Source organism: Homo sapiens, chromosome 12, assembly GCF_000001405.40.
Source record: "Homo sapiens chromosome 12, GRCh38.p14 Primary Assembly".
Classification (NCBI taxonomy): domain Eukaryota; kingdom Metazoa; phylum Chordata; class Mammalia; order Primates; family Hominidae; genus Homo; species Homo sapiens.
Genome location: NC_000012.12, coordinates 123,526,185 through 123,551,530, shown reverse-complemented (window position 1 = coordinate 123,551,530; position 25,346 = coordinate 123,526,185). Strand labels below are relative to the sequence as shown.

The following is a 25,346-nucleotide window of genomic DNA, read 5'->3' as shown; positions in this document are numbered from 1 at the left end:
ATATCTCTCCATGTCAGATCAAAGGATTGTCCTAACCCTTATAAAACATCAATATAGCCATCAGGGTTATCTGAGAATTTATCTAGGTCTATTTTAGTTTGTTTCAAGTCTGAGAGGGAAAAACGGTACATGCACTCTGACTGGGCTGAATTCTCCTCCTCCCACCGCTTGGAGGGGGCATAATCGGGGAATATTGGCACTCTGGGTCATTGTTTACCCCTTTGTCTATCTCCTTTTGGACGGTTTGGGTTGAAGGGGGGTCCTTATTAGTTGGGGAAGGAGCCGGGGGAACATTTCCCATCTGAAAAAAGAACATAGGAATGCCAGCACCCCTAGTCATTTTCCGATGAGCATTAGTCCTAGAGTGTCCTCTATGGTCCTAACGCTTATTCCTTTCCAGGGTGTGTGACCAGCCATGGACCTCTGCTTATCGGATTAGTTATGCTCACCGATGTAGCAGTCCTGCACCTGTTTTCCTGCCTTTCTTGACCACAAAGAAAGGGGTCCAGGCTGCTGGATTCTAGTGGTCCTTTACCAGTGTGCCCAACATCACCTTTGTGCTCAGGGGTGAGTTCTAGAGCTGGGCTGGTTTCCTGAGTATTTCATAACAACCCAGTTGCCCCATCTGCAACCCAGTTGCAACCCAGTTGGTCCCATAAGCAACAGTTCCTATGCAAATTCATTTCAGAGAGGGTGTAAGTAACTTTTTGAGTCAGGATTGAGATAGAATTTTTCCCCACTAGGGCCTTTATCCTTCTTTTCCTTTGCAGGAATATGCCCTAATTATCTATCTTAAACCTCTTGTTGCCCCAGATTAAGTCCTTTTGGGTAAGAAATAGGAGAGATGGATCCTGTTTATCTTGTGTGCCTTTTTCCTACGAGAAGGAGAGCAATGAGAAAAGGATGGGCTTGCTGGGTTTTTTTTGTTTTTTTTTTTTTTTTGAGATGGAGTCTTGCTCCATCACCCAGGCTGGAGTGCAGTGGCGTGATCTTGGCTCACTGCAACCTCTGCCTCCCAGGTTCAAGTGATTCTTCTGCCTCAGCCTCCTGAGTAGCTGGGATTACAGGCGCCCACCACCACACCCGGCTAATTTTTGTATTTTTAGTAGAGGCGGGGTTTCACCATGTTGGCCAGGCTGGTCTCGAACTCCTGATCTCAGGTGATCCACCCGTCTCGGCCTCCCAAAGTGCTGGGATTACAGGTGTGAGCCACCATGCCCGGCGTGGGCTTGCTGGTTTTTATGTGCTAAAGTCCAGTTAATAAACTTCTGGGCACTATGTTGTCCTTCCAGTAGTATTGACTTACATAGAATCACTAGGCAAAGCTGTGAAAGAGATAATTCCTCTCTTGGTAGATGGATTTTGGGAACACAGTGGAAGGACGTTCGCTCGTTGCCCCCATTTGCCGTTATAGGAATATGTGCCTCCCTTTAATTTACTCAATTCGTTTTCATCCTGATCTATTATGTTGTCATAGACCCAGTTCCAATTATTAAAGTACTGGGTCATCAGTTCTAAGGCCCTGGCCAAGGAGCCAAGGCTTGGAGATTGTATTACAGGGTGGGTAAACTGGGTAGAAATTGGGGGAGAAGAACATCTTACACAGTGGAAGATCAATCCTCCTAGCCATTTACAAACTTGGTCCACAGCTCATAATAGAACTTGGGGCCCTGGCTAGTGTGGTGGGGAATGGATCCCACATAACTGCCCATGTCGAGAGCTGTATACCTAAATTGGGAGAGACACCAGGGACAAGATTCCCTGCATTCATAGCCTAGGTGCCTAAGGATGCAGTGTAGAGCTTCCTTAGATCCCTTTGGAGATACAACTTGCTCTAATACTTGGGAAAGGAAGTGAAAGCCTGAAGCATTAGTACCTAGGAGACAGGGATAGGAGGAAGTAGATACAGAGGTAAGGAGAATTTTGGGGCTACACTTTCAAGAAAGTCATGGTCAGGACCCAGGAGGTATGGGTCAGAAGGAGAGGTAGGGGCACACGCATGGACGACTGTTGAGTAGAGACTTCTGGCTGCACCATGATCTCAACTGGCCAATGCCAGGAGTTCAGGACGACAGCTTTCTGCCTCTAGTTGGCCCTCGGCTTCCCCCAGGAATATTGTGAAAACAGAAGCTGGTTCCAGGCAGACCAATGCTCCCAACACAGAAGGGTTGGGGGTTGTTAGAAAGCCTTTTTCCAGAAAGCCTCACTCCGGCGGCCACGCTAATCATTTTTAACCAGCCGATAGGTGCCCTATATTTTCCTCCAATTCCAAGGAAGGATAGGACAGAATAGCAAGCAAAAATGGCCCAGTATTACTCACCACTTTGGAGAATCCCCATATGGGCCACCAAATGTTACAAGCGGGTCTTTGTTCTTAGAGCTCCCAAGATGGTGGTGGGCCGCTCCCAAGATGGCAGCAAGCCTTCTATTCTCTGACCTGGGGTTCTTGGCCTCATGGATTCCAAAGAATGGAACCTTGGGCCATGTGGTTAGTGTTATAGCTCTATTAGAAGCCATGGGTTATGGAAGAGAACCGTGGAACCCAGCGACTAGTGTTCAGCTCGATTAGGATGAACCCGGGCACTTAGCCATGCAGGAACAATGGCGAGCCTCTAGCCCAGTCAGGAGTGGCAATGGGTGTCTCACTGGATCAGAAGAGCAGCAGACACCCTGCCAGATCCGGAGGGGTGGAAGTCAGTGACGGGTCTGCGACGGTGGTGATCAGCAGTGGTGGATGGCAAGCAAAAGCTCAGCTCAAGCCGGAAAAAACACGGACCAGAAGAGTGTGCAGTTGCAAGATTTAATAGAGTGAAAACAGAGCTCTCATACAATGGGAGGGGACCAAAAGGGGGTTGCTACTGTTGGCTCCAATGCCTGGGTTTATATCCTGATCATTGTCCCTCCCGCTGTGCTCTCAGGCGATAGATGATTGACTATTTCTTTACCTCCTGCTTTTAGCCTAATTGGTATTTTAGTGAGCTCCCTTTACTACTTGATTGGTCGGGTGTGAGCTGAGTTACAAGCCCCATGTTTAAAGATGGGTGCAGTCACCTTCCCCAGCTAGGCTCAGGAATTCTTAGTTGGCCTAGGAAATCCAGCTAGTCCTGTCTCTCGCTAGTACTCTGTGTGGAATGAATGAATAAAGTTGTTCTCCTATGGAGCAACCTTGAATCTCCTTTCTATTGTCCCTAGCAATTCTGCTCTGGCCTGCACTTGCATGCTCTCCTCAACAAGTCACATGTTGTTTCCTGCTCAGCATCTGAATGCCCTTCCTAATTGTGAGCCGTGTCTGTCTTGGTGAAAACAGGGCTCTGTTCCTTCTACAGATGATGAGAAGGTTAAATCCTTGCTTTCCCTTATCCTCATGCCCGGGGCACAGCTTGTGACCCAAGCTCAGCCATTCAGATGCTTTCACCAAAATTTTGATTTTGGAACAGACAAATCATGGTTCAGCTGGGCATGGTGATACATGCCTGTAGTTCCAGCTACTCAGGAGGCTGAGGCAGGAGGATCATTTGAGCCCAGGTTGAGGCTGCAGAGAGCTATGATCACACCACTGCACTCCAGCCTAGGTAACAGCAAGACTCTGTTTAAAAAAAGAAAAAAATCTGGGCATGATGGCTCACACCTGTAATCCCAGCACTTTGGGAGGCTGAGGCAGGTGGATTGTTTGAACTCTGGAGCTTGAGACCAGCCTGGGTAACATGGCAAACCCCATTTCTACCAAAAATACTAAAAAAAAGTAGCTAGGTAAGGTGGCGCTTGCCTGTGGTCCCAGCTACTCAGGAGGCTGAGGTTGGAGGATCACTTGAGCTGGGGAGGCAGAGGTTGCAGTGAGCTGAGATTGCGCCACTGCACTCCAGCCTGGGCAATAGAGTGAGACCCTGTCTCAAAAAAAAAAAAAAAAAAAGACAAGGAGAAAAGATAAATCATGAATCACAGACGATGGCTGGTGCTTAGAGAGTGAGGAGATAGGTATGATATGAAGATGGTGAAGTAGACACAGAAAGTCCATGTTGGCCATGGTAAGGACCAGGGGTTTCATTGTAAATTGGCATGGACACCTGATGTGATGACATTTACGTTTTTCAAAATCAAGATTACTAGTTCTGTGTAGAAAAGAGACGATGAGGGGCCAGGCGTGGTGTCTCACACCTGTAATCCCAGCACTTTGGAAGACTGAGGCTGGCGGATCGCTTTAGCTCAGGAGTTTAAGGCCAGCCTGAGCAACATAATGAGACCATGTCTCTACAAAAAATACAAAAATTAGCTGGGTGTGGTGACATACACCTGTAATTCCAACTACTGGGGAGGCTGAGGCAGGAGAATCACTTGAACCTGGGAGGCGGAGTTTACAGTGAGCTGAGATCACACCACTGCACTCCAGCCTGGGTGACAGAGTGAGATCCTGTCTCAGAAAAAAAAAAAAAAGAAAAGAAAAAAGAAAAAGAAAAAAGAAAACAGATGATGAAGACAAAGAGATGAAGCAGATAATCAGTCAGAAGCCTACTGTAGCCTTTCAGTAGGTGAAATAATAGTAAACTGGGCCAGGGTAGTAGCAAAGAGGTGGAGAAAAGTGGATGGATTTGAGAGAAATTTTGGAGGTAAACTTGATAAGACTTGGTTTCCCTAATGTTCTAATTTCTCTAGCAGTCCTTCATACCACAATTGGACATCCGTGTTGGTTCCACGATGTTCTGAATGAAATGCTTCAGTGGTAGCAATAACAGCAAATGTAATAGTAATGACAATATTGATCATCATGGCAATCACTAACATTAACATAGCCCTTACTGTGTGCTAGCCTGTGTTCTAAGGACTTTACACGTCTTAATTCATTTAATTTTCACAAAAATCCTGGAGGGAGGTACCATTGAGATTACTCCCATTTTACAAATGAAAAAACAGAAACAAAGAAAAATTCAGTGACTTGCCTGAAGTCACACAACATTCCTACTATAGCAAATGTGAACTTGTCCCCACAATTTCTGATTCTGTCTTCAAATTCCTTTCCCTTGGTTCCCCAGCCTGCCCCATCCAATCCAGCCCCAGCCTGCTGACTCACACACACACAGAGCCTATTCTGCCCCTGGGCCTCACCCACAGACTTAGCAGCCTCTTTTCTCCCCTCTGCACCTCCAATCCCTCTCCTCCAGGAAGCCATTCCTGATTATGCCACATAGTTTGGCTTAAAGTTGGATACAAATAAAATAAAAATAAAAAACCAATAAAGTTGGATACAGTATTCACATGTATGACTATTGTTTATGTGTTACCTTTGGGGAGAATAAAAAGATGGGTTTTGCCTGGCAACAACTTATGTTCACTGTATATCATTGTATATCCTTCTATGATATTTGCTTTTTTAAGCAGGGACAGTAAGTCATCATTAACATCATCGATAGGTTTTTGGAAACTGCAATTTTAAGTAAAACGATGTGTAACAAAACAAATTTTACCATAGGCTAATTGATATAAACAAGGGTTGAGTTCCTAGGCATATTTCTGGTCACAAAATCATCACTTAACTTCTAAATCAAGAAACAAAACACTTACAATATTAAACATTGAAATAGATTAGGTGTGATGGCTGATGCCTGTAATCCCAACACTTTGGGAGGCCAAGGCAGGAGGATAACTTGAGGCCAGTTTAAGACCAGCCTGGGCAACATAGGAAGATCCTGCCTCTACAGAAAATAAAAAAATTAGCCAGGTATGGTGGCACGTGCCTGTGGTCCCAGCTACTTGGGAGGCTGAAATGGGAGGACTGCTTGAGCCCAGGAGTTGGAGGCTGCTGTGAGCTATAGTCATATCACTGCACTGCAGCCTGGGTGACAGAGAAAGACCCTGTCTCAAAAACAAATAAACAAACAAACAAGACAAACAAAAAAACAGAGTACCCAGAGAAAACCCACAGAGACAAGGGGAGAACGTGCAAACTCCACACAGACAATGGCCCCAGCTGGGGATCGATTTTTTTTCTCACCAATGTTATAAGAAAACAATGTTGAATGAAACAACGCCATTTGAGGACTTAGTGTATATGTTTTACCTTAAAACTTTTTTTTTTTTTTTCCCCGAGACAGAATTTCCCTTTGTTGCCCAGGCTGGAGTGCAGTGGCGCCGTCTCGGCTCACTGCAACCTCCACCTTCCCAGTTTAACAGATTCTCCTGCCTCAGCCTCCCAAGTAGCTGGGATTACAGGCGCCCACCATCACACCCGGCTAATTTTTGTAGTTTTTAGTAGAGACGGGGTTTCACCATGTTGGCCAGGCTCGTCTCCAACTCCTGACCTCAGGTGATCCACCCACCTCGGCCTCCTAAAGTGCTGTGATTACAGGCGTGAGCCACCGCGCCCGGCCAAAACATTTTTTTAAGATAGTTTTGAAGTCAGAGAGTCTTCCAGGATTTCATGAGGATTAAATAAATTTAAATGGACAAATGCTTAGAATGGAGCCTGGTACATATAAGAGCTATCCAAGCAGGGATTTGGAAATTAGCCAGGTGGGATGGCTCACGCCTATAAACCCAGCACTTTGGGAGGCCAAGGTAAGAGGATCCCTTGAGCCCAGGAGTTCGAGATGAGCCTTGACAACATAGCAAGACCCCCATCTCTACAAAAATATTTAAAAATAAATAAATCAAAAGGAAACCAGGTTGTGCTAATGTAGTAGCTAAAAGATGTTCATCGACTTGGGCAAGTTACTTAACTTCTCCGGGCCTCTGCAGCTTCCTTTTCTGTAAGTGGGATAATAAAACCTAAAGCATCGGATTTATTTATAAAGTACCTAAGACAGTCCTTGAAATAAACCTGAAATAAACATTCAATAAATAGTTACAATTATTATCCCTATACTATAAACTCTTCAAAAAGAATTTTGGGGTCGGGCGCAGTGGCTCACATCTGTAACCTCAGCACTTTAGGAGGCCGAGGCAGGCGTATCACTTGAGGTCAAGAGTTTGAGACCAGCCAGGCCAACATGTCTCCACTAAAAATACAAAAACTAGTTGGGTGTGGTGGCATGAGCCTGTAGTCCCAGCTACTTGGGAGGCTGAGACAGAAGAATTGCTGGAACCCGGGAGGCGGAGATTGCAGTGAGCCGAGATCACGCCACTGCACTCCAGCCTGGGAAACCCAGCAAGACTCCCTTTCCAAAAAAAAAAAAAAAAGAAAGAGAAATGAATTGTAGGCCGGGCGCAGTGCTTCATGCCTGTTATCCCAGCACTTTGGGAGGCCAAAGTGGAAGGATCGCTTGAGGCCAGGAGTTCAAGACCACCCTGGGAAACACAGGGAGATCCTATCTCTACAAAAAGAATTTTTAATTAAACAAAAAAATTAGCCTAATGTAGTGGCATACACTAGTAGTCCTAGCTACTCCTGAGGCGGAGGCAGGAGGATCACTTCAGCCCAGGAGTTCGAGGCTGCAGTTAGCCATGATCACACCACTGCACTCCCCACCAAAAAAGGAATTGTGTTCTTGCATTAGTCAGTGTCCAGGCAGGAATAAGAAAGCATATTCAAAATGAGATTATTTGCAAAGAATTTAATAAGGAGACTGTTTTAGTAGTGTGCTGGTAAACTAGTAAAGTGGAGTGCGGGGGCTGTGATTTGTAGCACTTGCCAGTTGCCATGGTTTACCAACCTCCAGCACTTTCCAACTCTTTCACTGCAGAGTTGGGTAGGGTTGCAAACAAGAGGCTCTCACAACTTGGTACAAGCCAGCTCCAGCACACCACTGGGACTCTGTACAGAGGTGTGAGAGAGTGTAGGGGAGCCAAAAGGGGTGGTGCAATACCTTGGAGGTAGCAACAGCTGGGAGCTGTTACTTGGTGGCTCAGGCCTGTAATCCCAGGACCAGGGACTGAAGAGACAGAACCTGAGACAGAGAGAAGGGTGGAGATCCTCATTGGATTGGAGGATGAAGGCAGCCAGCCCGCAGTGACCCCGCAGCAGCAATCTGGGGAATTAAGATTCCCATCGCACTCTCCTCCCACTCCCCAGTCTCCTAATGAGACTCTCCAGTGGACAACGCCAGCTGAAGCTGGCCAGGAAAGGAGGCTGCTGACCTGAGCACATAAGACAGCTTCCTGGGCCACAGATCAGGGAGTAGAGGAGGGAGAGTGGAGGGGCAGACGGAAGATGTCCAGCATTGTTTTATAGTGCTTTGGCCTACACATATAAAAATATTGTATTTGTCGGCTGGGCGTGGTGGCTCACGCCTGTAATCCCAGCACTTTGGGAGGCCGAGACCGGCAGATCACAAGGTCAGGAGATCAAGACCATCCTGACTAACACGGTGAAACCCCGTCTCTACTAAAAATACAAAAAAAAATTAGCTGGGCGTGGTGGCAGGCGCCTGTAGTCCCAGCTGCTCAGGAGGCTGAGGCAGGAGAATGGCATGAACCCAGGAGGAGGAGCTTACAGTGAGCTGAGCTTGCGCCACTGCACTCCAGCCTGGGCGACAGAGCGAGACTCCGTCTCAAAAAAAAAAAAAAAAATTGTATTTGTCAGCCAGGTATGGTGGCTCGTGCTTGTACTTTAGGAGGCCAAGGCAGGAGGATTGCTTGAGGCCAGGATTTCTAGATTTGCCTGGGCAACATAGTGAGACCCTGTCTCTACAAAAAAGAAAAAATTAGCCAGGCAAGGTGGCTCACACCTGTAATCCCAGCACTTTGGGAGGCTGGGGGTGGGTTGGGTGGTGCATCGCTTGAGATCAGGAGTTTGAGACCAACCTGGCCAATATGGTAAAACCCCATCTCTACTGAAAATATGAAAATTAGCCAGTTGTGGTGGCGCATGCCTGTGGTCCCAGCTACTTGGGAGGCTGAGGCAGGAGAATCACTTGAACCCTGGAAGAGGAGGTTACAGTGAGCCGAGATCATGCCATTGCACTCCAGCCTGGGCATCGCAGCAAGACTCCGTCTTGAAAAAACCACAAAAAACAAATAAAATATCCACAGTTGAAAAGATACTGTGTCTGGTACTATTGCAGCTGAAGAATGCTGGCTGGTACCCCTGGTTTTCGTGATAAGCTCATTTCTTTTTTTGTTGTTGTTGTTTTTTGTTTGAGACAGAGTTTCGCTCTGGTGCCCAGGCTGGAGTGCAGTGGCGAGATCTCAGCTCACTGCAACCCCCGCCTCCCAGGTTCAAGCGATTCTCCTGCCTCAGCCTCCCGAGTAGCTGGGATTACAGGTTCGTGCCACCACACCCGGCTTATTTTGTATTTTTAGTAGAGACGGGGTTTCTCCATTTTGGTCAGGCTGGTCTCAAACTCCCGACCTGAGGTGATCTGCCCTCCTCGGCCTCCCAAAGTGCTGGGATTACAGGCCACTGCACCGGGGCTGATATACTCATTTCTTAATTTTCCTCCTCTTTCTTAACCCACTCTTGCTCTGTCAGAAATTAGGTTTTATTTGTTGTTGTTGTTATACCTGTTCACTGTCTATTTCCCAGGAAAGCAGTAATCCTATCTCTCTGGCTTATTGCCAGATTCCACAGATGTAGCATACTACCTGGCCTGTATTTTTTTGTTTCTTTTGTTTGTTTGTTTGTTTTGAGACAGAGTCTCGCTCTGTCGCCCAGGCTGGAGTGCAATGGCGCGATCTCCGCTCACTGCAAGCTCCGCCTCCCGGGTTCAGGCCATTCTCCTGGCTCAGCCTCCCGAGTAGCTGGGACTACAGGCGCCTGCAACCACAACCGGCTAATTTTTTGTATTTTTAGTAGAGACAGGGTTTCACCGTGTTAGCCAGGACGATCTCGATCTCCTGACCTCGTGATCCACCCCCCTGGGCCTCCCAAAGTGCTGGGATTACAGACATGAGCCACTCACAGGGTCTATTATTACTGCCGAAACCTAGAGGATGTATCCTTCTTGGGTGTAGATATAAATGTCCAGCTGACAGCTGGAAATGTGGAAATTGAGTTCAGAACTAAAGAAGCTGTGATTCGACCTACATTGACTTCATTCATAGAGTAAATATTTAGCTCTTTTTTTTTTTCTTAAACAGGGCCTCACTCTGTCACCCAGGCTGGAGTGCAGTAGCGTCATCTCAGCTCACTGCAACCTCCACCTACCGTGCTCAGGCGATCCTCCCATCTCAGCCCCTCAAGTTGCTGGGACCACAGGCATGCACCGCCACACCTGGCGAATTTTTTTGTATTTTTAGTAGAGATGGGGTTTCACTATGTTGGCCAGGTTGGTCTTGAACTTCTGGGTCAAGCGATCCACCTGACTCTGCCTCCCAAAATGCTGGGATTACAGGCGTGAGCCACCAAGCCAGGCCAATATTTAGCTCGTAATACATGCCAGGTAGGGCTGGGCTCGATGGCTCACTCCTTTAATCTCAGCACTTTGGGAGGTAGAGGTGGGTAGAGGCCCACACTTCGGGAGGCCAAGGTGGGAAAATGGCTTGAGCTCAGAAGTTTGAGACCAGCCTGAGCAACATAGTGAGACCCCATCTCTATGAAAAGAAAGTTAGCTGGTGTGATGGTGCATGCCTGTAGTCCCACCTGCTGGAGAGGCTGAAGCGCAGCCCAGAAGGTCGAGGCTGCAGTGAGCTATGATTGCGCCACTGCACTCCAGCCTGGAAGATAGAGCGGGACACTGTCTCTAAAAAGAAAATAAGGCCAGGCACAGTGGCTCACGCCTGTAATTCCAGAACTTTGGGAGGCCAAGGTGGGCAGATCACCTGAGATCAGGAGTTCAAGAGCAGCCTGGCCAACATGGTGAAACCCCGTCTCTACTAAAAAAAGAAAAAAAAAATAGCCAGGTGTGGTGGCACACTCTTGTAGTCCCAGCTACTTGGGAGGCTGAGGCAGGAGAATTGCTTGAACCTGGGAGGCAAAGGTTGCGGTGGGCCAAGATCGAGCCACTGCACTCCAGCCTGGGCGACAGAGTGAGACTCTGTCTCAAAAACAAAAAAGAAAGAAAAGAAAAAAGAAAAGAAAAGAAAACAGAGGGGTGGCTCTGGAAGCTTACCCACTAGGCTCAACTACTCTCCCACCCTATTTTGTCACCATTCTCCTAAGGACTCAGATGGACTCCTGCCTCCCCTTTCCCTCCTTGAAGTAATTTCCATCTCTCACACCCTCCCATCCCTTTCCCACCCCCTCCTAAGGCACAGGCTGCAGGGTGCCACTGTCCTTCTTAATCTTTATTCCTCCTTCCAGCAGACTCTTAATACATCTTTGTTGCCTTCAGTGCAAAGTTGCCCAATTTGGGTATTTACTATTTATTCTTTCATTCACCACAGGCACACACTGGGTTCAGCTCCCTGCTTTATCCCTTGCAGCTGTGGGACAAGTTACTAATCCTTCTGTAGTGGATTGAATGGTGAACCCCTACCCCAGCCAAAAAAACAGGTACATCCTTGTCATAATTCCTAGAACCTGTGACTGTGACCTCATTTGAAAAATGGGTCTTTAGGCCGGGCGTGGTGGCTCACGCCTGTAATCCCAGCACTTTGGGAAGGCTGAGGCAGGCAGATCATGAGGTCAGGAGATCGAGACCCTTCTGGACAACATGGTGAAACCCCATCTCTACTAAAAATACAAAAATCAGCTGGGCGTGGTGGCGCATGCCTGTAATCCCAGCTACTCGGGAGGCTGAGGCAGGAGAATCACTTGAACCAGGGAGTCGGAGGTTGCAGTGAGCCAAGATCGTGCCACTGCACTCCAGTCTGGTGACAAAGCGAGACTCCGTCTCAAAAAAAAAAAAAAAAAAAAAGCGAGACTTAATTTGAAAAAAAAAAAAAGTGTCTTTGTAGATGTGATTAAATTAAGGATCTCCAGATGAGGGGATCATCTTGGATTATCTGTGTGGAACCTAAATCCAATGACACGTGTCCTTATATGAGACACAGAGGAGAAGACACACAGAGCAAAGGAAATGTGAAAACAGGCAGGAGAAGTCTGGGCAACATGGCAAGAACCCATCTCTACAAAAACACAAAAATTAGCTGGGTGTGGTGGCATGTGCGTGTAGTCCCAGTTACTTGGGAGATTGAGGCAAGGGGGTCGCTTGAACCTAGGAGTTCGAAGCTGCAATGAGCTGAGACGGCACCACTGCACTCTAGCCTGGGCGACAGAGGGAGACCCTGTCTCAAAAACAAAAAGAAAGCAAACAGGCAGAGAATTGAGTGATGCGGCTGCAAGCCAGGAAACACCTAGAGGCACGAGAAGCTGGAAGAGGCAAGGAAGGGTCCTCCCCTGGCGCCTTCGGAGGGAACGTGGTAGTTCTAATGCTTTGATTTAGGACTTCTGGACTCCAGAACTGTGAGAGAATACGTTTCTGGGTTTTTGTTTTTTGTTTTGGGTTTTTGTTGTTGTTGTTGTTGTTTGGTACAGCATCTCACTCTGTTGCCCAGGCTGCAGGGCAGTGGTGCGATCATGGCTCACTGCAGCCTCGACCTCCCAGGCTCAAGCAGTCCTCCCACCTCAGCCTCCCAAGTAGCTAGGACTACAGGTGAACACCAGCACACCTGGCTAATTTAAAACAATGTGTTTTTTTGTTTGTTTTTTTTTTTTGAGACAGGGTCTCACTTTGTCCCCCAGGCTTGAGTGCAGTGGCAGGATTGTGGCTCACTGCAGCTTTGACCTCCCAGGTTCAAGCAATCCTCCTGTCTCAGCCCCCTAAGTAACTGGGGCTACAGGCACATGCCACCATGCCCAGCTAAATTTTTGTATTTTTTGTAGAGATGGGGTTTCTCCATGTTGCCCAGGCTGGTGTCCAACTCCTGAGCTCAAGCAATCCACCTGCCTTGGCCTCCCAAAGTGCTGGGATTATAGGACTGAGCCACCACACCTGACCTAAAAACTTTTTTTATAGAGATCGAGTCTCACTACACTGCCCAGGCTGGTCTCCAACTCCTGGGCTCAAGTGATCCTCCCTCTTCCACCTCCGAAAGTGTTGGGATTACAGGCGTGAGCCACTATGCCCAGCTAGTTTTGTTTCAAGTCACCAAGTTTGTGGCAATTCGTTATAGTAGCTACAGGAAATCAGCACACCTTTCCCTGCCTCCCTGTCTTTAACTTAGAAAGTGGACAGCAAGGCCAGGCGTGGCTCACACCTGTAATCCCAGCACTTTGGGAGGCCGAGGGGGGCAGATCACGAGGTCAAGAGATCGAGACCATCCTGGCCAACATGATGAAACCCCATCTCTACTAAAAATACAAAAATTAGCCAAGTGTAGTGGCACATGCCTGTAGTCCCAGCTACTTGGGAGGCTGAGGCAGGAGAATCGCTTGAACCCTGGAGGCAGAGGCTGCAGTGAGCCGAGATCACGCCACTGCACTCCAGCCTGACAACACAGCTAGACTCAATCTCAAAAAAAAAAAAAAAAAAAAAAGAAGAAGAAGAAAAAGGGGACAGCACTGGCCAGGCACAGTGGCTCACACTGTAATCCCAGCACTTTGGGAGGCCAACGTGGGTGGATCACCTGAGGTCAGGAGTTCGAGACCAGCCTGGCCAACATGGTGAACCTTTGTATCTACTAAAAATACAAAAATTAGCTGGGCATGGTGTCAGGTGCCTGTAGTCCCAGCTACTAAGGAGGCTGAGGCAGGAGAATTGCTTGAACCTGGGAGGCAGAGATTGAAGTGAGCTGAGATTTTGCCACCGCACTCCAGCCTGGGTGACAGAGCGAGAATCCGTCTCAATAAAAGAAAAAAGAAAAGAAAGGGGACAGCAATAATATGTCAGCTTCATTTGGGTTGTTGGAAGGATCCAGAAGGTTTAGAGTGCTTAGCACGTGTAAGGAACAAGGATGAGAAGGTTATGGCACAGACTCGAGGCCAGACTGCGCAGGTCTGACCCTGAATTTACCTTCACCAGCTGCCTGGCTTTGGGTGAGCCTTTTAACCTCTCTGTGCCTCAGTTTCCTCATTTGTAAAATAAGATAATAAAATTTACCTCTTAGGATGTTATAAGGCAGAAGTTCTGAAACTTTTTGGCCTCAGAGCCCCTTTACACTAAAACAATATTTAAAGAGTTTTTGTTTGTTTGTTTGTTTTTGTTTTTTTTTGTTTGTTTTTTTGAGACAGAGTCTCACTCTGTTGCCCAGGCTGGAGTGAAGAGGCATGACCTTGGCTCACTGCAACCTCCGTCTCCTGAGTTCAAGGAATTCTCGTGCCTCAGCCTCCCTAGTAGCTCGTATTACAGGCACGGGCCACACACCGGCTAATTTTTATATTTTTAGTAGAGACAGGATTTCACCATGTTGGGCAGGCTGGTCTCAAACTCCCGATCTGAGGTGATCCGCCCACCTCAGCCTCCCAAAGTGCTAGGATTACAGGCGTAAGCCACTGTGTCTAGCCTTGAAAGAGCTTTTGTTAGGTGAGTTATATCTGCTCATATCTACTGTAAATAGAAATTTATAATCCCAGCTAACTCAGGAGGCTGAAGTGGGAGGACCGCTTGAGCCCAGGAGTTTGAGGCTGCAGTGAGCTACGATCGCACCACTGCACTACCTTGGGCAACAGAACTAGACCCTGAAAAGAAAGAAAGAAAGAAAGAGAGAGAGAGGGAGGGAGGGAGGGAGGGAGGGAGGGAGGGAGGGAGAGAGAAAGAGAGAGAAAGGAAAGAAAGAAAGAAAGAAAGAAAGAAAGAAAGAAAGAAAGAGAAAGGAAAGGAAAGGAAAGGAAGAAAGAAAGGGGAGGGGAGGGGAGGGAAGGGAAGAAGAAGAAAAAGAAAAGAAAAGAAAAGAAATTTAAACTGATGCTTTAAAAAATATTAATTAAAAAATAGTCCGGGAGGATGGCTTATGCCTGTAATCCCAGCACTTTGGGAGGCTGAGGCAGGCAGATTGCCTGAGGTCAGGAGTTCGAGATCAGTCTGGCTAACATGGTGAAACCCCCTCTCTACTAAAAATACAAAAAAATCGGCCAGGCATGGTGGCATGCGCCTGTAATCCTAGCTACTTGGGGGCTGAGGCAGGGAAATTGCTTGAACCTGGGAGGTCGAAGCTGCAGCGAGCTGAGATCGAGCCACTGCACTCTAGCCTGGCGACAGAGGGAGACTCTGTCTCCAAAAAAAAAAAAAAAAATTAGTAAACACATTACACGTTAACATAAATTTTTTTAACTTTTTATTTTTTTAGAAACAGTCTACCTACATTGCTCAGGCTAGACTAGAACTCTTGAACTCAAGGGATCCTCCCACTGGAGTAGCTGGAACTACAGGCTCACGCCACCGTGCTAGATAACGTATGAGTTTTTTTGTTGTTTTTGAGACAGGGTCTCCCTATGTCACCCAGGTTGGAGTGCAGTGGTGTAATCACAGCTCACTGCAACCTCTGCTCCCTGGGACTCAAGTCATCCTTCCACCTCAGTCTCCCGAGTAGCTGGGACTACAGGCACTTGCCACCAGAGTCGGGTAATTTTTATTTAATTAATTAATTAATTTATTTATTTATTTATTTTGAGACAGAGTCTCGCTTTGTCACCCAGGCTGGAGTGCAGTGGCACGATCTCGATCTCAGCTCACTGCAACCTCTGCCTCCCGGGTTCAAGTGATCCTCCTGCCTCAGCCTCCTGAGTAGCTGGGATTACAGGCGCCTGCCACCACGCCTGGCTAATTTTTTTTTTTTTTTGTATTTTTAGTAGAGATGAGGTTTCACCATGTTGGCCAGGCTGATCTTGAACTCCTGACCTCAACTGATCTGCCCCCCTTGGCCTCCCAAAGTGCTGGGATTACAGGCATAAGTCACTGCAACCAGACTTTTTTTTAAATAGAGACGGGGTTTTGCCATGCTGCCCAGGCTGGTCTCGAAATCTTGGGCTCAAGTGATCCTCCAGCCCTGGCCTCCCAAAGTGCTAGGATTACAAGCATGAGCCACTGTGGCCAGGAGTATTTATTTTTATTTTTTATTTTTCTGAGACAGAGTTTCGCTCTGTCGCCCAGTTTGGAGCATAGTGGTGTGATCTCAACTCACTGCAACCTCTGCCTCCCAGGCTCAAGGGATCTTCCCACCTCAGCCTCCCAAATACCTGGGACTACAGGCTCTCACCACCACGTCTGGCTAATTTTTTTATTTTACTTTTTTTTTTTTCTTTTTTTTTTTTGAGACGGAGTTTCGCTCTTGTTGCCCAAGCTGGAGTGCAGTGGCACGATCTTGGCTCACTGCAACCTCTGCCTCCCAGGCTCAAATGATTCTCGCGCCTCAGCCTCTTGAGTAGCTGGGATTACAGGCACATGCCACCATGTCTGGCTAATTTTTGTATTTTTAGTAGAGGCGTGGTTTCACCATGTTGGCCAGGCTGGTCTCGAACTCCTGAGCTCTAGAAATTTTCCCACCTCGGCCTCCCAAAGTGCTGGGATTACAGGCGTGAGCCACCCCGCCTGGCCTTAATTTTTTTTTTTTTACTATTTATTTATTTATTTATTGTATTATATTATTATTTTGAGATGGAGTCTTGCTCTGTCACCCAGCCTGCAGTGCAGTGGCGCGATTTCGGCTTGCTGCAACCTCCGCCTCCCGGGTTTAAGCAACTCTCTGCCTCAGCCTCCTGAGTAGCTGGGATTACAGGCATGCGCCACCATGCCCGGCTAATTTTTGTATTTTTAGTAGAGACGGGGTTTCACCACCTTGGCTAGGCTGGTCTTGAACTCCTGACCTCGTCCACCTCAGTCTCCCAAAGTGCTGGGATTACAGGCGTGAGCCACCGCGCCCGGCCAACTTTTAGATTTTTAATCAATACGTGCCACGTTGGGGTGCGCTTTATGGCTACAAGGGCATTAAGATTTCTTCCCTCAAGGAGCCAAGATCTGACGGTGGAAACCTACCTGCAACCACACGGTGAAAACTCAGGATGCTAAGAGCAATCCTGATGGGGCAAGCAGGGGACTGTGAGTTTGCAAGGGGGTCCTTAACTCCTGCGTGGGGGGCGGGGAGGGTGGATGGGGTTCTGGGTTCAGGAAACGTTCTCCCGGGAGTGGGAGGGGGTCTGATGGACAAGTGGATTTGGCCAGCCCAAATGGACAGGGGGCCTTGGGACAAGAGAACTCGTGGTGCTGGAATGCCAAGCGGGCTTCGCTCTACTGTGAAGTGGCGTTCATGTCACAAGGAGCCAGTGATGGATGTGGCTCGGGGAGGCGCGCCCTGGGGCTCCGGGGATCCAGCATTCCTCGACACGTCGGCCCCTCTCCGGGCGCCTCTGCAAGTCCGCCTGGTGGCCGGGTCTGCGCGGAGTGTCTGCGGGCCGGGGGGGGTCCCCGTTCTCTTCCTGGGATGAGCCCCAGCCCGGGGACCTCCTCGTGACCCCTCCATCCCTCTCCAAGGCCGGGGCCGCTACCCGGAGCAGCGAATCGTCCCGCGAGACCAGCGCCCCCGGCCCCCTCTCCCGGGGCGGCCTGGACCCCTCCCGGCGGCCGGGTGGTGGGAGGAGTCAGCGCCGGGCGGGGGAGGGGCGGCCGGGGCACGGGTGAGGGGCGCCGCGGGTCCGGCGGCTGGAGAGGGGGGCCCGGAGTGCAGGCCGCGGAGTCGGCGCTTGGGGGGGTACCCCGGGGCGCCCCCGGGCGGCGGAAAGCGGGCGCGCCCCTGGCCAGGCCGGGATTGGGGCGGGGCGCGCGGCCTCCCTGTGGGGAAGCGATCACCCGGCCTCGCAGCCGCCGCCGCCAAAGTTTCCCGGAGGAGCCGCGGGCCGCCCTTCCTCTCCGGCCCCGCGCTCTGCCGCCCCTCAGGCCCGCACCGCCCCGAGGCGCCCGGCCCGGCTCCATTGAGCGCAACTCGGATCCCAACTTGGGAGGCGCCGCGGGCCTGCGCACGCGCGCGCCCTCCCCGCTGCCGCCGCCGCCGCCGCCGCCGCCGCCGCCCACTCGGGAGCAGCTCCGGGCCGAGCCGGGCGCCCAGACCCCGGGCCCGCACACCCCGCGCCGCCGCCCGTGCCCGCGCCCGCGCCCGCCGCCCGCTGCCCGCTGCGCCCTCGCCCCAGCGCCCGCTGAGCGCGCCCGCCCGCGGCCCAGGCTGGGCCCGGCCGGCCCGGCCCTCGACAGCGGCAAGTTTGGGAGTTGCACGAGTTTGCGGGGCGGGGGACAGGCCAGGAGGGTGGCCATGGAGGAGGAGCGGGGGTCGGCGCTGGCGGCCGAGTCGGCGCTGGAGAAGAACGTGGCCGAGCTGACCGTCATGGACGTGTACGACATCGCGTCGCTTGTGGGCCACGAGTTCGAGCGGGTCATTGACCAGCACGGCTGCGAGGCCATCGCGCGCCTCATGCCCAAGGTCGTGCGCGTCCTGGAGATCCTGGAGGTGCTGGTCAGCCGCCACCACGTCGCGCCCGAGCTGGACGAGCTGCGCCTGGAGCTGGACCGCCTGCGCCTGGAGAGGATGGACCGCATCGAGAAGGAGCGCAAGCACCAGAAGGTGGGCGGCGGCCTCGGTCTGTCCGTCCGGGCAGTGGGACCGCGGGGACCCAAGGGCTCTTCCGCATTGGGCAGCTGTGGGTGCGCACGTGTGTGTGTTCAGGGACCGGACCAGAGGAGACCCGACGTGGGGAGGGAGGGAGGCCCTGGCCTTCTTTTGCCCGACCAGGGGTGGCTGGCAGATACCACCCGAGAGATTAAGAGCTGTTCTCTGGAGTTCCAATCCCACCTTTACCGTTTAATAGCTGTGTGACTTTAGGTAAGTTACTTAACCTCTCTGTGCTTTATTTCCTCACCTGTCAAATGGTAATCATAATAGGACCCACCTTAGAAGAATTAAATGGGACCATATAAGCTAAGTGCTTAGACATATTATTCTCTTCCAGACATGAAATAAGCCTCTTGGCCTCCCGAGTTACCAAGAAGATGTGACATCAGGCCCAGGACCCTTTCTTCATCCCCCCCCCCCCCAGTCTCCCCAGAGCAAAGGGAATGTGACCTCCAGCCACTGAGCTTCGTGACCCCTAGTCTTCGGGTTCATATTTGCAACTTTCTTCCCGGGACTCCCCTAGCTTATGAACCTGTGGTAGCCCGTGTTCTCTCCTCTGATTTTATCCTTAATCCTCACAGGACTCTATAGAGACTATCTTCATTTTACAGATAAAGAAACCGAGGGTCACAGTGGGAGGAGCAATTTGTCCCAAATTAGTGGTGAGAGAGTCCCAGCCCCCGTGTCTCCTCCCCACCCTGTTTGAATTGGGGGAAAGGGATGATTTGGGGTGGCTTTAAGGCTAAGCCTCTGCCCTGTGATCAGGAGTCTCTCTGAATCAGGGCCTCCCCACTGGGCCTGGAGTTCAGACGAGGTTTCTGGAGAAAAGGAAGTGAAAGACATGTGGTTTCCTGCCCTAACCTCAGCCAGGGATGCTCTTGGCAGCCCCTTCAGACTGAGAATGGGAGGAAACACCTTTCCTTGAGGGATCAGGGTGCCTGAGCAGTCTCCAGCTTGCTGTTCAGCCTCAGGAAATACAGATGGCCTCTCTGAACCTCAGGGGCAGGCCATCCCTTATTGTGTACTTTGATGGATCTCTGTGTTTTGGAGTAAAATAGCCAAAGCTGGGTCTGAACCCTTTACCTGAGGGCAGACCCACAGGTAGGTAACAGCACCATTGCCATGTTTGACTGTGCTCGTCCTCATGGGTCCCTATGCCCTAGGGGCAGGAAGGAAACTCAGGCTCCCAAGAGTTGAGCAGCATTTCCGAGGTCACTCTGGGAGCCTGAAAATGCTTTGACCTGTAATTAATTTCAAGACTCCTAGAAGCTAGGACTTTGGAGCTAGACAGCCTGGTTTCAAACCCTACCACTTGCAGGCTGTGTGATCTTGGGCAAATCACCCAGCATCTCTGTGCTTCAGTTTCCTCAGTTCTAAAATGGGATAGTAATAGTACCCCCATTAGAATGTGATGAGGTTTAAAGAGTTAATATAAATACATATAAAGTGTTCAGGACAGAGCCTGCCCATAGCAAGGGCTTTGCAAGTCTTAAAATTCTTTTTAGGCCTGGAGAGACATTCATTGAGGTGCTCACAGGCTCATATTAGGAAACCGTCCCCACCCCAAGCACCTCTACTCCTACCCTAGAGGCCTCCATCTCTCATAGAGGGTCAAGGAGGCAAGGGACCTTGGAAATTCTCTCGTGTGGCGCCTCTTATTAACAGGGACCAAGGGGCTTTGACCAGATCACACAGAAGTCCTGGCACCTATACTGTCCCCCAACTGGGGCTCTTTAGTTCTGTTGCGGGGGAGCTGGGAGAAATCCTTGGAAGCCATCGGAGGCCACCAGGTCTGAAGTCACATGGAATTGTCAGCAGCTGCACTTGTTGCCTCTGGAAAGTGTTCAGCTGGGAAGTGAACACCGTGCGCTCAGGGCCAGGGCTTGTTGACTTACATTGAGGATGACCTCTCTAAATCAAGGATGCAATTCTTTTCCCACCCCAGCCCCAGACCCGTTTACTTCACATTCTTGGGATGGAGAGAGACTTGTATGATTTTTTTTTTTTTTTCCTGCAGAGTCTCAAAGGCTCTTCAAGGTGATATTTCCACAAAAATGTTTTTGGCATGTCCTGGTTTAGTCTGTCCACCTCCATTCCTCTTCCCTTTCCCCTCTTCTTCCCTACCCCTTCTTCCTTGTCTCTCTCGCTTTCAGCAATTATGGCTCCAGTAAAGGACATACACTTTCTTCCCCCTACTCCTCCTCTCAGTAGACCCACTCACTCACTTCCACTCATCACTCAGATGCAGGCCACAGTTGTGTCATGTTCTGTCTCATTACTCAGTCTGCAACTCTGATGACAGGCCATAGCGAGCACAGTGCCCTTCTTGGTACCATGGCTCTGCAGAGAAAAGCAAAGTCTCATGTCAGGCAGCAGGCGGGTAACAGGGAAGAAAGGGAAAACACAAATAAATTCTAGAAAGCAATGGCTGGGCTGATACACTCGCGTGTAACATACCAGACTATGCTATTCATTCACTCATTCAGCGAATATATTTACTGAGAACCTACTGTGTGCCATGCATTGTTCTGGGCACTGGGAAGACAGTAATGACCATGACAGATGAGGCCTTGGCCCTGATGAGCCTGACTTTTTAGTGTAGTGCTATACCATAGAAATATTATGCAGCTTTGCCATGTTAATAAAAAACAGTGAAGTTGGCTGGGCGCGGTGGCTCACACCTGTAATCCCAGCACTTTTGGGGGGCCAAGGCGGGTGGATCACTTGAGGTCAGGAATTCAAGACCAGCTTGGCCAATATGGCAAAACCCCATTTCTACTAAAAATACAAAAATTAGCCGGGCATGGTGGCGAGTGCCTATAATCCCAGCTATTCAGGAAGCTGAGGCAGGAGAATCGCTTGAACCCGGGAGGCAGAGATTGCAGCGAGTCGAAATCACACCATTGCACTCCAGCCTGGGTGACAGAGTGAGACTCTGTCTCAAAAACAACAACAACAACAAACCAGTGAGGTTAATTTTAATATATCTTATGGGACCCAGTAGATCCAAAATATTTTCATTTCAACATGTAATCAGTATAAAAACTTATCATTTGATATTCTGCACTCTTTTTTTCCTACTACATCTTTGAAATCTGGTGTGTCTTTAACCCCTGCTGCACATTTCCACTCAGACCAGCCACATGTCAAATGCTCAACAGCCACGTGTGGCTACTGACTTTCCATGGGATGGTGCAATTATTCTAGCATGAGGAAGAGATAGAGATTTTTTTTCTCCTTTTTTTTTTTTTTGAGTCAGGGACGTACTCTGTCATCCAGGCCAGAGAGCAATGATGGCATCACGGCTCCCTGCAGCCCTGAACACCTGGATTCAAGTGATCCTCCTGCCTCAGCCTCCTGAGTAGCTAAGACTACAGGCACACTGTAATTTTTTTTTCCTTTAGAGACAAGGTGTCACTATGTTGCCCAGGCTAGTCTTGAGCTTTTGGGCTCAAGCAGTCCTCCTGTCTTGTCCTCCCAAAGTGCTGGGACTACAGGTTTGATCCACTGTGCTTAGCCAGGATAGATTAAAAAAAAAAAAAAAATTCAGGCTGGGCACAGTGTTTCACACCTGTAATCCCAGCACTTTGGGAGGCCGAGGCAGCTGGATCACTTGAGGTCAGGAGGTCAAGACCATCCTGGCCAACATGGCAAAACCTCATCCCTACTAAAAATACAAAAATTAGCTGGGTGTGGTGGCGCACGCCTCAGGAGGCAGAGGCAGGAGAATCGCTTGAACCTGGGAGGTGAAGGTTGCGTTGAGCCGAGATCATATCACTGCACTCCAGCCTGAGCAACAGAGCGAGACTTTGTCTCAGAAAAAAAAAATCAGCTTATAATAAGTGCCATAAAGAAAATAAAACTGGGAGACATGAAAGAGACTGACTAGGGTGGTAGTCTAACAGATGGGGCAGTCAGGAAGTCTTCCCTGAGGAGGTGACATCTGAGCTGAGATCTGAATGAAGGATAGGATCCAGCCACAGATTGATCTGGGGGAGAGGCATTCTAGGCAGAAGACGTGGCTAGTGCAAAGGTCCTGAGGTAGGAATGCACTTGGCATGTTCAAAGAACACAGAGTCGGTGTGGCTGGAGCAGAGCAAGTGAGGAAGAGGACTGGGAGATGAATCAGGAAGGTGCCGGGGCTTGTAGGCTCAGATGAGGAATTTGAGGACTCTTGGTGCTGAGGGAAGAACGTGAAGGAGATGATTGATCAGGGCTGACTTCTCCGGAGAACCACTGGGCTGGTATGGAGGCAGCATGAGATTCTGAGTGGTCAACTCAGAGGCGAGAATCAGCAACCCCAGCATCAACTTCAGTTCGTTGAGAGAAGAAAAAAAAAGAATTTAGGGTTAAAGTCTGTATTCATTCCCTGTGGCTGCTGTAACAAATCAACACAAACTGGTCGGGCGCGGTGGCTCAAGCCTGTAATCCCAGCACTTTGGAGGCTGAAGCGGGCGGATCACAAGGTCAGGAGATCGAGACCATCCTGGCTAACACGGTGAAACCCCGTCTCTACTAAAAATACAAAAAATTAGCCGGGCGTGGTGGCGGGCGCCTGTGGTCCCAGCTACTTCGGAGGCTGAGGCAGGAGAATGGCATGAACCCGGGAGGCGGAGCTTGCAGTGAGCCGAGATCGCACCACTGCACTCCAGCCTGGGTGACAGAGTGAGACTCCGTCTCAAAAAAAAAAAACAAACAACAACAAAAAAATCAACACAAACTTAGTGGCTCAAAACAGCAGAAATGTGTTATCTTTTTTTTTTTTTTGAGACAGCATCTCACTCTGTTGCCCAGGCTGGCGTGCCGTGCGTGACCATTGGCTCACTGCAGCTTCAGCCTCCTGGGCTCAAGCAATCCTCCCGCCTCAGCTTCCCAAGTAGCTCAACTGCAGGCATGTGCCACCACACCCAGCTTAATTTTTAGCAGAGATGGGGTCTTGCCATGTTGCCCAGGCTGGCTGCAGACTCCTGGGCTCAAGTGATTCTCCTGCCTCAGCCTCCCAAAGTACTAGAATTACAGGCGTGACCCACCATGCCTGGCCAGAAATGTATTGTCTTATTGAACTGGATAATCCAATATTATGGATACAATGTCATACAGTATTATGGAGGCATATGTGTAATTATCAATATAAATAATACTGGAGAAATTTCCGGACGTCAGAAGTCGGAAATGGCTCTCACTGAGTTCAAATCAAGGTGTTGGGAAGGCTCCACTCCTTTGGGGGGCTGTGGAGGAGGATCCATTTCTTTGCCTTCCCCAACTTATGGACTCTGCATTCCCTGGCTTGTGGCCCCTTCCTCCATCTTCAAAGCCAGCAGCGTAGCTTCTTCCCATCTCCCTCATATTCCTCTAACGCTGACCTGCCTTCCTCTTACGAAGACCCTGGCATGACATCGGCCCACCAGATAATCCAGCCAGATAATCCAGAATCATCTCCCCATCTCACAAGCTCTTTTTTTTGAGACACAGTTTCAGTCTGTCACCCAGGCTGGAGTGCAGTGGCATGATCTCGGCTCACTGCAACCTCTGCTTCCCTCAGCTCACTGTAACCTCTGCCTCCCAGGTTCAAGTGATTCTCATGCCTCAGCCTGCTGAGTAGCTAGGATTTCAGGTGCACGCCACCATGCCCAGCTAATTTTTGTATTTTTAGTAGACAGAGTTTTGCTGTGTTGTCCAGGCTGGTCTCGAACTCCTGACCTCAAGTGATCCTCCTGCCTTGGCCTCCCAAATTGCTGTGATTATAGGCGTAAGCCATCATGCCCAGCCTCAAGAGCCTTTTTTATAAAAAAAAAAAGTTGGGGTCTTGCTCTGTCACCCAGGCTGGAGTGCTGTGGTGCAATCACAGCTCACTGCAGCCTCAACCTCCGGGGCTCAAGTGATCCTCCCACCTCAGCCTCCCAAGTAGCTGGTACTACAGGCATGCACTACCACGCCCAGCTAATTTTTGTATTTTTTATAGAGACAGAGTTTTGCCATGTTGCCCAGGCTGTTCTCAAACTCCTAGCCTAAATCAATGCTCCCACCTCAGCCTCCTAAATTACAAGGATTATAGGTATGAGCCACCGTGCCATGCCTAAGATCCTTAACTTAATCATCTCTGCACAGTCCCTTTTGCCATGTAAGGTAACATATTCTCAGGGATTAGGACTTGGATGACTTTAAGAGCCATTATTCTCCCTGCCCCAGCCAGTTACACTTGACTGATATTCTCTGAGCCCCGTGTGAGCCCAGCCTATGCCAATTGGAAACAGAGAGGAACAGGGCTGGATGAGCCTCTTTCTGCTTCCAGGCCCCATCTGCTTATGGGAGGTCAACATTCCCTCTCCATCCCTCCACCACCACTTCCACCCCGGCCCTGCCCTTCACCTCCCCTGGTGACCTTGCGCCCTCTGTGCAAATACTAGGCTATTACTCCTCTCTTCCCCAATGCAGCAGGCTTCTGACAAAGGAGGTGGGTCTGAGAACTTATTTAGAAGATGGACAGAGGCCATGCCTAGCATCCGGCCACCTGGCCGCTTGTGATGAATTGTAGGGATGGGACAGAGATCAGCACACACATTGTTAGTGCTTTCTGGGTGCCGGGCATATTCCAGGCGCTTTACTTATAGTAACCATTTAATCCTCACACCCACCCTTCCCGGCAGATACCACACTAGTTTCCTCATTTGTGGGGCACCAGAAGGCTGAATAACTCGCCAAGGTCAGCTAGTAAGCAGCAGAAACAGGATTCAGACTTAGGGCGGCAGGCTCCAGTGTCCATGCCTTGAACCACTATTTTATTTTATTTTTTATTTATTTTATTTTAATTTTATTTTTTGACATGGAGTCTCATTCTGTGCCCCAGGCTGGAGTGCAGTGGCTTGATCTCGGCTCACTACAGCCTCTGCCTCTCAGGTTCAAGCAGTTCTCCTGGCTCAGCTTCCCAAGTAGCGGGGATT

The 25,346-nt window shown here is 49.6% G+C and overlaps 1 protein-coding gene and 1 non-coding gene across 5 annotated transcripts in view, besides 3 other annotated features; one reads left to right on the top strand and one right to left on the bottom strand.

Annotated features, from left to right (window-relative positions):
* Positions 1-14,996: 14,996 nt before the first annotated feature.
* MIR3908 (microRNA 3908) lies at positions 14,997-15,122 on the bottom strand. The gene has a single exon (NR_037470.1). It is a non-coding gene; the product is annotated as a microRNA 3908 (primary transcript).
* Positions 16,884-17,069: a silencer, noted in NCBI's record as "fragment chr12:124019009-124019194 (GRCh37/hg19 assembly coordinates)". NCBI's record gives its function as "represses an EF-1alpha promoter that drives an FKBP-Casp9 reporter gene in an ReSE screen in phorbol 12-myristate 13-acetate-treated (for megakaryocytic differentiation) K562 erythroleukemia cells {active_cell/tissue: K562(+PMA)}" and the evidence as "EXISTENCE:reporter gene assay evidence [ECO:0000049][PMID:32094911]".
* Positions 17,089-17,778: a silencer, noted in NCBI's record as "silent region_5046". NCBI's record gives its function as "represses an Ori minimal core promoter by ATAC-STARR-seq in GM12878 lymphoblastoid cells {active_cell/tissue: GM12878}" and the evidence as "EXISTENCE:reporter gene assay evidence [ECO:0000049][PMID:35858748]".
* Positions 17,812-25,346, top strand: part of RILPL1 (Rab interacting lysosomal protein like 1) — a 63,666-nt gene continuing 56,131 nt past the window's right edge. For all 4 annotated transcript variants that reach the window (NM_178314.5, NM_001319243.2, XM_047428787.1 and 1 more), the window contains exon 1: positions 17,812-18,357. In NM_178314.5, the coding sequence (NP_847884.2) occupies positions 18,049-18,357 (309 nt within the window). In that variant the 5' untranslated portion in view covers positions 17,812-18,048. The remainder of the gene's footprint in view (positions 18,358-25,346) is intronic.
* Positions 17,994-18,811: an enhancer, noted in NCBI's record as "H3K27ac-H3K4me1 hESC enhancer chr12:124017267-124018084 (GRCh37/hg19 assembly coordinates)". NCBI's record gives its function as "activates a minimal SCP1, AML or CMV promoter by ChIP-STARR-seq in naive H9 embryonic stem cells {active_cell/tissue: H9 hESC(naive)}" and the evidence as "EXISTENCE:reporter gene assay evidence [ECO:0000049][PMID:30033119]".